Source organism: Homo sapiens, chromosome 1, assembly GCF_000001405.40.
Source record: "Homo sapiens chromosome 1, GRCh38.p14 Primary Assembly".
Taxonomy (NCBI): Eukaryota; Metazoa; Chordata; class Mammalia; order Primates; family Hominidae; genus Homo; species Homo sapiens.
In genome coordinates this window covers 119,117,703-119,130,391 of record NC_000001.11, presented here as the reverse complement: position 1 = coordinate 119,130,391, position 12,689 = coordinate 119,117,703, and the positions used below count along the sequence as shown (strand labels likewise).

The 12,689-nt window shown below is 37.6% G+C and overlaps 1 protein-coding gene and 1 pseudogene across 12 annotated transcripts in view; both read left to right on the top strand.

The window, feature by feature from the left end:
* Positions 1–12,689, top strand: part of WARS2 (tryptophanyl tRNA synthetase 2, mitochondrial) — a 109,457-nt gene that overhangs the window by 10,281 nt on the left and 86,487 nt on the right. For 3 of the 12 annotated variants that reach the window (NM_001378226.1, NM_001378227.1, XM_024449826.2), the window contains one exon: positions 5,709–5,793. The exons of the other annotated variants lie outside the window; for them this stretch is intronic. In NM_001378226.1, the coding sequence (NP_001365155.1) occupies positions 5,773–5,793 (21 nt within the window). In that variant the 5' untranslated portion in view covers positions 5,709–5,772. The remainder of the gene's footprint in view (positions 1–5,708; positions 5,794–12,689) is intronic. 12 annotated transcript variants of the gene reach the window in all.
* On the top strand, positions 3,081–3,897 carry RPS3AP12 (RPS3A pseudogene 12; annotated as a pseudogene).

Below are 12,689 nucleotides of genomic sequence, written 5' to 3'. Positions count from 1 at the left end.
TCTTTATATTATACTGAGGTTTGTTACATCTGTATATAGAAAAGTGTAGACATACTCAAGATTGAGATGAAAAGATTTTATTTTGAGTATGGTTTTGTCTCAAAGGACTGTCTAGTTCAATAAGTGTGCCATATTATCTATACAACAACTGATGTGGTTTTTGCTTTTATAATCAAGAGTATGCTTTCTTCAACTTATAAAGGAAATAAAAAGCTCATTTATTGTATTGACATTGCCTTTTTTTTTTTCTCATTTACCCACCTTAAGTCCCATTTAAGCAACCTGTCAAACCATGCCTAGCACTTTTGCTCTGTAGATCTTGGTATGCCCTGCATAGATGGAGAGAACAGCCCTAGGTCTCACTGCACCGTTACACGATGTAGACAGGCCATTTGTAAGCTAATGCAACTTCATTTTTCTTTGCACCTTGATAAATGCAGAGAAATGTGATTCAAGCAGATTTTATATCTATATAGCCAAGGTTGTGCAAAGAATTTATATTTTCTTCTTTTAAAGTGGCCAGTGATATTATAGTAGTTGGTCAGGAAAGCTTTATTGCAATGCTTGCTTACCAAATTGTCATTACATGTTTAATAAAACCTTTAATTGTGCTATATCATATCTGTTAGAGAGAATGGGATTTATTTTATTTTATTTTTTTTTTATTTTTATTTTTTGAGATAGAGTATCACTCTGTTGCCCAGGCTGGAGTGCAGTGGTGCAGTCATAGCTCACTGCAGCCTTGATGTCCTGGACTCAAGCGATCCTCCTTGTGATACTCAGCTTCCTGCGTAGCTGGGGCTACAGGCACAAACCACCACATTTGGCTGATTTTTTTGTTTTTTATTAAACACAAGGTCTCACTATGCTGTCCAGTCTGATCTCGAACTCCTGGGCTCAAATGGTGTTCCTGCCTCAGCCTCCCAAAGTGTTGAGATTACAGGTGTGAACCACTCTGCCTGGCCAAGAGGACGGGTTTGATTGTGGCATCTTTCTGGTAAATCTATGTCTAACTGTATTCAAGCTGCTATAACAATATACCATAGACTGGGTATCATAAACAACAGACATTTATTTGTCACAGTTCTGGAGGCTGGGAAGTCCAAGATCAAGGTGCTGACACATCCACGTCTGGTGAGGGCTTCCTTCCTAGTTCATTCTCTGAGATCTCTTTTATGAGGGCACTGATCACCTCCCAAAAGCCGCACCTCCTAATGCCATTACATTGGGAATTAGGTTCCAAAATATGAATTTTGGGAGGACACAAACATTCTCTTGCAGTCTGTGACTACAGTGGCCAGACATCTTGTAAAATCCAGAACCAGTTATACTTTATAACCATAAATCTTTAAAGTGTCTTTGAAATTTCAGTGTTTCAGCATCCACATGACATCTCCTGCACCATTTCTAACATTCTAAAATAGAACAAAACTTCTTTAGCAGACCATATTTCCTTAATTTTGATTGAGAATATATGAACATATCTATGACTAAAATAGAGACACAGCTTGCCCTCTTGTCTTTCTTTTCCATCTAACTAGCAGGGTTTTTGGTCAGGCTTCCATGACACCTGTCTTTTTGAAAGTCAGATGCTTACCAACCATGTGGATATAAAGTCAGCCAGTTTCCATTTTGACCACAAGTTAGAAGGAATGGGGAACGAGAGGGGTGGCTCTTCAAAAAGGAGTAACAAAGCCATGACCACTGATGGGATTACTGTCAGCTGAATACCATTTAAATTGCATTTTCTGCAGGGAGATCATTAAGAATAAAGCATGTATATTGTGGGGGGCGCAGGGTGGGGGTGGGAGTGGGTGGGTGGTGGGGAATGTTAAATCAAGCTTTTTTAAACTTCTCTCAGTTCAAACCCTGGGGAAAAGACCAGAGTTGAGGAATTAAAAAAGGGAGACAGAGATGGCAGAAGAATCATTAGAGTGTAGATCTAAGGATTCCGAGGGTGTAGAGAATGTCAGGAAGAAGAAATGAAGAGCAAGATAGTGACATGGTAAGATAAAGACTAAAAATTATCCATTAGAATTTAGCCTATAATCCCAGCACTTTGGGAGGCTGAGGTGAGTGGATCACCTGAGGAGTTTGAGACAAGCCTGGCCAACATAGTGAAACACGATCTGTACTAAAAAATACAAAAATTACAGGCCAGTGGTTGTGGGGGCCTATAATCCCAGCTTCTCGAGAAGCTGAGGTAGGATAATAGCTTGAACCCAGGAGGCGGAGGTTGCAGTGAGCCAAGATTGCACCACTGCACTCCAGCCTGGGCAACAGAGCAAGACTCCATCTCAAAAGAAAAAGTTAAAAAATTTTAAAAAAAAGAATTTACAGTTGGTATTATCACTAAAGACATTAGCAACAAAAGCTTTAGAAGAGTTATTAGTGCAGAAGGTTAGTTACAATGAGAGAAGAGGTGAGAAAATGAGTTTTGCTCTTTTGACGATCCCAATTGAGAAGGGAGTGAGCATGTAAAGGGAGCTATAAAGAATGGCCTTACCAAAATTTTCTTGAAGGTAAGGTCTTTTGGGATGAAAGAAACTTGAACATGACCATTAGAGCAAGTAAAGATAGAGAGATTGACAATACAGGAAAGAGATGGAAAGAAATGGGAAAAAATGTAGTCCAGAGCAAATGATTGAACACTAGGAGAGTGAGAGAAAGGTAGAGGTAGGTGTGGGTCTAGGTAAGTTTGCTGAGAATAGTGTGGGAAATCGAGGAGCTCCAAACCCTGTTGAGCATCATTCTCTCAGATGGCTTTAGACCTGAGGAGATGGTATAGGTTAGTGGGTTTGTATATGGGTTCTGCAATTTGTCTCCTTGCATTCAAACCAAAGTTCTTCCACTCAATAAATGGGTATCCTTGAGCAAGTTACTGAGCCTCTCTGTACCTCATTTTCATTTATAACATCGATAAGAACATCGAGATAAAAGCTTGAGCTAGACTGCCAGGATTTGGAGCTAGTAAGCTCTACTGCTTACTGGCAGTGTGACCTTGTGCAGTCGCTTGATTTTTCTGTGCCTTAATTTTTTTTCATCTGTAAAACAGAGACAGTAATAGTATCTATCTCAGTTTTTGGCTCTGAGCAGCACCATGGAGGTTGGCAAGAACAAGCGCCTTATGAAAGGCGGCAAAAAGGGAGCCAAGAAGAAAGTGGTCGATCCATTTTCGAAGAAGGATTGGTATGATGTGAAAGCACTTGCTATGTTCAATATAAGAAATACTGGAAAGATGCTAGTCACCAGGACCCAAGGAATCAAAATTGCATCTGATGGCTTTGAGGGTTGTGTGCTTGAAGTGAGTCTTACTGATTTGCAGAATGATGAAGTTGCATTTAGAAAATTCAAGCTGATTACTGAAGATGTTTAGGGCAAAAACTGCCTAACTTCCATGGCATGGATCTTACCCATGACAAAATGTGTTCCATGATCAAAAAATGGCAGACAATGATTGCTTCATCTGTTCTGTGTTGGTTTTACTAAAAAATGCAACAATCAGGTACGGAAGACCTCTTATGCTCAGCACCAACAGGTCCTCCAAATCTGGAAGAAGATGATGGAAATCATGACCTGAGAGGTACAGACAAATGACTGGAAAGAGGTGGTCAATAAGTTGATTCCAGACAGTATTGGAAAAGACATAGAAAAGGCTTGCCAATCTATTTATCCTCTCTGTGATGTCTTCGTTAGAAAAGTAAAAATGCTGAGGAAGCCCTAGTTTGAATTGGGAAAACTTATGGAGCTTCGTGGTGAAGGTAATAGTTTTGGAAAAGCCACTGGGGACAAGACAGGTGCTAAAGTTGAACGAACTGATGGATATGAACCACTAGTCCAAGAATCTGTCTGAAGTTCAGACTTTTAATAGTGGCAAATAAAAAGTCCTATTTGTGAAAAAAAAAAAAAAAATAGTATCTACCTCAGAGTGTTACCATGAGTGTGAGAATTCAATCAATTAATATTTGTAACGATGTAGAACAGTGCTAGGCACACTGTAGGTATTATGTAAGTTTTTAAAAAGGGTTTTATAAGCAGGGTTGAGAGCTTAATTGAAATTAGAAATTGTAAATTAGATTTGAAACAAAATTCTGCATTATTTTGAGATTTTTTTTTTTTTTTTTCAAAACTGCTCAGCTATTAAGGGGTATAAGTGAAGAATGAGTTCTTTAGCCTTGATCCAGGATTGGAGTTTTTGTCTTGGCTATTGGGACACTATGGCAAGGGGAGTTGAGGTTGCTCGGGAGAACATAGTCCAAGTGATGACCATGGGGCCAGGCTGGGTAGGGAAGAAGAGAAGACAGGTAGGGAGTGCTGTATCAGCAAAAAATGGAAAAATCAAAGTCTGTAATTTCTAAATAAGCTTGAAGATACAGTGGGAATTAAAGGATGAAAGAGTTAAAAGGTAGAAGGTTGCAGACTGAGTAGAATATTGACATTTATGATTTCAAAAATGGAGAAATTCTGTGTGATGGCAAGGCCCAGGGTATAACATGAGAATAAAGGATTGAGGTTGAGGAGATCCAACAAATGTATTGAATGCTAGTGTATTGGATGGGTAGTCTACCTGATAATTGAACTCTCTTGGAGAACAGAATTTGACTCAGAGAGACAGCCAGCTTCCTAATCCTTTAATCAGTTTAGAAGAGTATTCAAGAGGTGGAAAGATAATAACAGAGGCCTGAATAAGTGTAAATATCTACTCTCCTCTCATTTATGTAGTCATGTAAAATTTTTTGGACCCATTGTCTCCTGAATGATTAAAAGACCCTGTTCAGTGGAGGATTATTTGAATATGTCACCTGGTGAATTCTGTCCTCATCTCTAATTCATGAGAGTAATAAGGTTGTGAGTATTTTATAGTATTGATTCATTCAACAAATATTTATTGAGTACTTATTATATGGTAGATATTGGAGATAGACTAGTGCAAAGCAGAAATCTTAAATTCTAGTAGGAGAGACAGGCAACAAGTAATTAAGATATATAGTATGTTAGATAATAGTGATATGGAGAATAAAACAAAACAAAGCAGGAATCAGGAGGTGGGGACTGCCAAAGGGTATCACAGTTGTAAATTAGGTGGTCAGCAGAGGACCCCAAGAAGGTGACTTTTAATGGAAGACCTGAAGGTGGTGAGAACATGTACAAAGTAGACATCTGAGGGAAGAGGATGCCAGGAAGAGGAAAGAAGAATGGAAAAGCCATGAGGTGGGGGCTAAACTGTCATGTTTGAAGACCAGCATAGAGGCCAGTATGGCTGCAGGAGAGTGAGCATTTTCTGTAACAAATACTATATAGCACTTACTATGTGTTGGATACTTTTCTAAATACTTCACAAGCATTAACTCATTTAATTCTTGTAACAGCCCTATAAGACAGTACAGATGAGAATCTGTGAAACAGATGTTAAGTAACTTGTCACACAAGCAACAGAATGCACACAGCTAACAACGGTGAAGAGCCAGGGCCTTAACCTTGGGGTGGTTTGCATTATGCTGTTTATTATAGTAATAGTATACGAAGTCACATGGCTAACAGGAGGGTGGACGTGGGGAGGTCAGTTGTATAGTACCTTAGAATAAATTGTAAAGACTTTGGCTTTTTCTGGGATTAAACTGGGAAGTCATGGGAAGGTTTTGTGTGGGAGAATAACCTGATCTGATGTAAGTTTTAAAGTCTCACTCTGGTTATCATGTTAAAAATAGAATATAGAGGAACAAGAATAGAAGCAAGGAGACCAAGTAAGAGGCTACAGGATTCAAGCAAGAGATGATGGTGGCTTGGACTACGGTGAGTGGTGAAGATGGTTTCATGAGGCATGATCAGGTTCTGGATATTTATTTTATTTTTATATTTTATTTCATGTCATTTCATTTCATTTCATTTCATTCCAATTTTTGAGACAGAGCCTCACTCTGTCACCCAGGCTGGAGTGCAGTGGCACTATCTCGGCTCACTGCAACCTCCACTTCCTGGGTTCAAGCGATTCTCCTGCCTCAGCATTCCAAGTAGCTGGGACTACAGGCGCACACCATACCTGGCTAATTTTTGTATTTTTAGTAGAGACAGGGTTTCACTATGTTGGTCAGGCTGGTCTCGAAATCCTGAGCTCAAGTGATCTGCCCACCTTGGCCTCCCAAAGTGTTGGGATTACAGGCATGAGCCACCATACCTGGCCATGGATATTTATTTTAAAGGTAGAGCAAATAAGATTTTCTGACTAATTAGATGGAGGATGAAAGAAACAAAAGAGTCAATGATGATTCCAAAGTTTCTGGCCAGAGCAACTGGAAGAATGAATTTGCAATTTACTGAGACACAAAATAATGCAACAGTAACACGATTTTGGGAGGGAAGATCAGGGGTTATCAGGAGTTAAGTTTTAGGCAAATTGAGTTTAGATGCTTCGTGAACATATAAGTGGAAATGTCAGGTAGGCAGTTAGATATGTGAGACCAAAGCTCAGGAGAGAGGTATAGATGGAGATGTACATTTGAGAGTTCTCAGTATAGACTGTGCTGAAAGCCTTGAGATAGGGTGTAATTATCTGTGCAGTAGGTTTAGAAAGAAGAGAAGAGAGGAGAGGAGGGGAAGGAGGGAGGGGAGGGGTGGTTCAAGTACTAAGCCTGTGAACATTCCAACATTAAGAGGTTGGGATGATGAGAACCAGACAAGATAGTATTATCCAGATAGGTAAAAGATGAGGAGGAAGTGGTAACATGCTGGAAGCCAAGTTAGGAAAATGTTTTATAGACTAACATTAACGTGTGTGTGTGTGTGTGTGTTTGCATGCACACAAGTGCATGCTCTTGCACACAGTCAAAAACACCCTCCCCTCCCTGACACACACATATCTTATATGTACATGGAATGATAAGGAGTATCAACTACTTTTCTTCACTGATTAACATAGTCTCTACTTGCAGGCAGATTTAATTGGGAAGCCAAATTATTAAGTAAGATAGCTTGATGGGTATGGAATCAGAGCAAAGGGAGTTCATTAAAGCACCTCATTGGCTAGGGTAATCAAGCTATCATTACCCAAAGATCCATCTCCAGTATGGGACACACGTGTTCCTTGGGCAACACATTGCTGGCCTGTGCCATAGTGCCAATTGACTTGGGCAGTTCTTTAAAACACAAGGCCAGAGTTTTCCCAGTAGAGCTTCTTTTTTAAAGTTTCCACCCTTCAAGGGAACATATTCTTTCTTTAGATATGTTAATGTGCCTAACTTTGTTTCTATAAGTGTATTAAGTCTTGTCCTCAGAGTTCTTAACACTTTTTGATGAGGAAGGGTGTGGTCACTATTTCCTTTGATTAAAATGTGGATCTTCTATCTTGAAAAATGCGTATATGCATTCTCAAAACTGTATACAGTTTCACAAGTTAATAAACCCAAGTTAAGAACTCCTACATTTTTTTCCTATCCTCAGAGAGCTGATTTTTTCTTCTCAATTTCTCTTACTTTTCTTTTTTTTCTCCATCACCCGCCTCACACCCATTTCCCCAAGTCCCCAGAGTCCATTCTATCATTCTTATGCCATTGTGTCTTCGTTGCTTAGTTCCCACTTGTGAGAACATACTATGTTTGATTTTCCCATTCATAAGTTACTTCACTTAGAATAGTGGTCTCCAACTTCATCCAGGTTGCTGTGAATGCCATTATTTAATTCCCTTTTATGGCTGAGTAGTATTCCATGGTATATATGCCACACTTTCTTTACCCACTTGGTTGATGGGCATTTAGGCTGGTTCCATATTTTTGCAATTGTGAATTGTGCTGCTATAAACATGTGTGTCTACATATCTTTTTCATATAATGACTTATTTTCCTCTGGGCAAATACCCAGTAGTGGGATTGCTGGATCGAATGGTCATTCTACTTTTAATTCTTTAAGGAATCTTCATAGTGTTTTCCATAGTGGTTGTACTAGTTTACATTCCTACCAGCAGTGTAAAACTGTTCCTTCTCACCACATCCATGCCAACATCTATTACTTTTTGATTTTTAAATTATGGCCATTCTTGCAGGAGTAAGGTGGTATCACATTGTGGTTTTGATTTGCATTTAGCTGATAATTAGTAATATTGAGCATTTTTCCATGTGCTTGTTGGCCGTTTGTATATCTTCTTTTGAGAATTGTCTATTCATGTCCTTAGCCCACTTTTTGATGGGATTGATTGCTTTTTTCTTGCTGATTTGTTTGAGTTCTTTGTAGATTCTGGATATTAGTCCTTTGTCAGGTATATAGATTCTGAAGATTTTCTTCCATACTGTGAGTTGTCTGTTTACTCTGCTGATTATTGTTTTTGCTGTGCAGGCACTTTTTAGTTTAATTAAGTCCCATCTATTTGTCTTGGTTTTCATTGCATTTGCTTTTGGGCACTTGCTCATGAATTCTTTGCCTAGGCCAGTATCTAGGAGAATTTTTCTGATGTTATCTCCTAGAATTTTTAGGTTTGAGGTCTCAGATTTAAGTCTTTGATCAATCTTGAGTTGATTTTTGTATAAGGTGAGAGATGAGGATCCAGTTTCGTTATTCTATATGTGGCTTGCCAATTATCCCAGCATCATTTGTTGAATAGGGTGTCCTTTCCTCACTTTATGATTTTGTTTGCTTTCTTGAAGATCAGTTGGCTGTAAGTATTAAGCTTTATTTCTGGGTTCTCTATTCCTTTCCATTGTACTACGTGCCTGTTTTTATACTAGTACTGTGCTGTTTTGGTAATTATAACCTTGTAGTATAGTTTGAAGCTGGGTAATGTGATGCCTCCAGATTTGTTCTTTTTGCCTAGTCTTGCTTTGGCTATGTGGGCTTTTTTTTTCTTACATATGAATTTTAGGATTGTTTTTTCTAGTTCTGTGAAGAGTGTTGGTGGTATTTTGATGGGAATTGCATTGAATTTATAGATTGCTTTTGGCAGTATGGTCATTTTTACAATATTGATTCTACCCATTCATGAACATGGGATGTGTTTCCATTTGTTTGTGTCATCTATGATTTCCTTCAGCAGTATTTCAACGTTTTCCTTGTAGAGCTCTTTCACCTCTTTGGTTAGGTATATTCCTAAGCATTTTATTTTATTGCAGCTGTTGTAAAAGGGGTTGAGTTCTTGATTTGATTCTCAGCTTGATTGCTATTGGTGTATAGCAGTGCTACTGATTTATGTACATTGATTTTGTATCTGAAACTTTACAGAATTCATTTATTAGATCTAGGACCTTTTTGGATGAATCTTTGGGTTTTCTAGGTATGTGATCATATCATTGCCAAAGAGCAACAGTTTGACTTCCTCGTTACCAATTTGGATGCCCTTTATTTCTTTCTCTTGTCTGATTGCTCTGGCCAGGGCTTCCAGTATTATGTTGAATAGAATTGGTGAAAGTGGGTATCCTTGTCTTATTCCAGTTCTCAGAGGAAATGCTTTCAACCTTTCCCCATGCAGTATAATGTTGCCTGTGGGTTTGTCATAGATGGCTTTTATTACCATAAGATATATCCCTTCTATGCTAATTTTCCTAAGGGTTTTAATCATAAAGGAATGTTAGATTTTGTCAAATGCTTTTTCTGCATCTGTTGAGATGATCATATGATTTTTGTTTTCATTTCTGTTTGTGTGGTATATCATTACGTTTATTTACTTGTGTATGTTAAACCAACCCTGCATCCCTGGTATGAAACCCACTTGATCATGGTCGATTATCTTTTTGATATTGTGTTGAATTCAGTTAGCTATAGAAGATTTTTGCATCTATGTTCATCAGGGATATTGGTCTGTAGTTTTCTTTTTTTGTTATGTCCTTTCCTGGTTTTGGTATTAGGGTAATGATGTTTTCATAGAATGATTTAGGGAGGATTCCATCTTTATCTTTTGCAATAGTTTCAGTAGGATTGGTACTAATTCTTCTTTGAATGTCTGATAGAATTCGGCTGTGAATCCATCTGGTCCTGCACCTTTTTTTGTTGGCAATGTTTTTTATTACTGTTTCAATCTCATTACTTGTTATTTTTTTTTAAGAGTTTTTGTTTCTTCCTGGTTTAATCTAGGAAGTTTGTATATTTCCAGGAATTTATCCATCTCCTCTAGGTTTTCTAGTTTATGCACATAAAGGTGTTCATAGTAGTCTTGAATTGTCTTTTGTATTTCTGTGGTGTCAGTTGTAATATCTCCCATTTCATTTCTAATTGAGCTTATTTGGATCTTCTTTCTTCTTGGTTAATCTCACTAATGTGTATCGATTTTGTTTATCTTTTCAAAGAACCAGCTTTTTGTTTCATTTATCGTTTGTATTTTTGTTTGTTTCAATTTCATTTAGTTCTGCTCTGATCTTTGTTATTTTTCTTCTGCTGGGTTTGGGTTTGGTTTGTTCTTCTTTCTCTAGTTCCTTGAAATGTGACCTTAGATTGTCTATTTGTGTTCTTTCAGACTTTTTGATGCAGGCATTTATTACTGTGAACTTTTCTCTTAGCACTGCTTTTGCTATATTCCAGAGGTTTTGATTGGTTGTGCTGCTATTATCATTCACAGTTCAAATAATTTTTTAATTTCCATCTTTATTTCATTGTTGACCTAAGGATCATTCAGTAACAGATTATTTGATTTGCATGTATTTGTATAGTTTTGAGGGTTCCTTTTGGAGTTAATTTCCAGTATTATTCCACTGTGGTCTGAGAGAGTACTTGATATAATTTCAATTCTCTTAAATTTATTGAGATGTGTTTTGTGGTCTATCATATGGTCTATCTTGGAGGATGTTCCATGTGCTGATGAAAAAATGTATATTCTGCAGTTGTTGGGTAGAATGTTCTATAAATATCTGTTAAGTCAGTTTGTTTTAAAGTATAGTTTAAGTCCATTTTTTCATTGTTGACTTCCTGTCTTGATGACCTGTCTAGTGCTGTCAGTGGAATATTGAAGTTCCCCACTATTATTGTGTCTATCTCATTTCTTAGGTGTAGTAATAATTGTTCTATAAATTTGGGAGCTCCAGTGTTAGGTGCATATATATTTAGGATTGTGATATTTTCCTGTTGGACTAATCCTTTTATTATATAATGTCTCTGTTTGTCTTTTTTAACTGTTGTTACTTTAAGGTATGTTTTGTCTGATATAATAGCTACCCCTGCTCACTTTTGGTGTCCATTTGCATGGAATATCTTTTTTCCACTCCTTTACTTTATGTGAGTCTTTACGTGTTAGGTGAGTCTCTTGAAGACACTAGATACTTGGTTGGTGAATTCTTATCCATCCTCCCATTCTGTATCTTTTAAGTGGAGCATTTAGGCCATTTACATTCAACATTAGTATTGAGATGTGAGGTACTGTTTTATTCATCATGCTAGTTGTTGCCTGAATACCTTGGGTTTTTAAAAATTGTGTTACTTTTTTATAGGCCATGTGATGTTTATGCTTTAAGGAGGTTCTATTTTGGGGTTTTGTTTCAAGATTTATGACTCCTTTTAGCAGTTCTTGTAGTGCTGGCTTGGGATTGGTGAATTCTTTCAGCAGTTGTTTGTCTGAAAATGGCTTTATCTCTCCTTCATTTCTGAAACTTAGTTTTGCTGGATGTAAAATTCTTGGCTGATAATTATTTTGTTTAAGGAGGCTAAAAATAGGACCCCAATCCCTTCTGGCTTGCAGGGTTTCTGCTGAGAAATCTGCTGTTAATCTGATAGGTTTTCCTTTATAAGTTACCTGATGCTTTTGCTTCACAGCTCTTAAGATGTTTTCCTTCATCTTGACTTTAGATAAACTGATGACTATGTGCCTAGGTGATTATGTTTTTGTGATGAATTTCCCAGATGTTCTTTGAGTTTCTTAAATATGGATATCTAGATCTCTAGCAAGACCAGGGAAGTTTTACTTGATTATTCCCTCAAATAAGTTTGCATAACTTTTAGATTGCTCTTCTTCCTCAAGAACACCAATTACTCTTAGGTTTGGTCATTTAACATAATCCCACATTTCTTAGAGGCTTTGTTCATTTTTAAAATTCTTTTTTCTTTGTCTTTGTTGGATTGGGTTAATTCAAAAGTTTTGTCTTTGAGCTCTGAAGTTTTTTCTTCTGCTTGTTCAATTCTATTATTAATACTTTTCAGTGTGTTTTGCTTTTCTCTAAATGTGTCTTTTATTTCCAGAAGTTGTGATAGTCTTTTCTTTACCATATCTATTTAACTGGGAACTTTTTCCTCCATATCCTGTATTTTTTTAAATTTATTTAAGTTGGTTTTCACCTTTTTCTGGTGCCTCTTTGCTTAGCTTAATAATCAACCTTCTGAATTATTTTTCTGGCAATTCAGAGATTTCTACTTGGTTTAGAGCCATTGCTGAAGAGCTACTGTGATCTTTTGTGGGTGTTATAGAACCTTGTTTTGTCACATTACTAGAATTACTTTTCTGGTTCCTTCTCATTTGGGTAGACTGTTTCAGTGGAAAGATATGGAACTCAAGGGCTGCTGTTCAGGTTCTTTGGTCCCACAGGGTGGTCCATTGATGTGATGCTCTCCCCGTTTCTCTAGGGATAGGGCTTCCTGAGAGCCAGACTGCAGTTATTGTTATTGCTTTTCTGGGTCTAGCTACCCAGTGGGGCTACCAGGATCCAGGCTAGTGCTGTAAAGAGTCCTGTGATGTGACCCATCTTCAGTTCTCCCAGCTGTGGATACCAGCACCTGCTCTGGTAGAG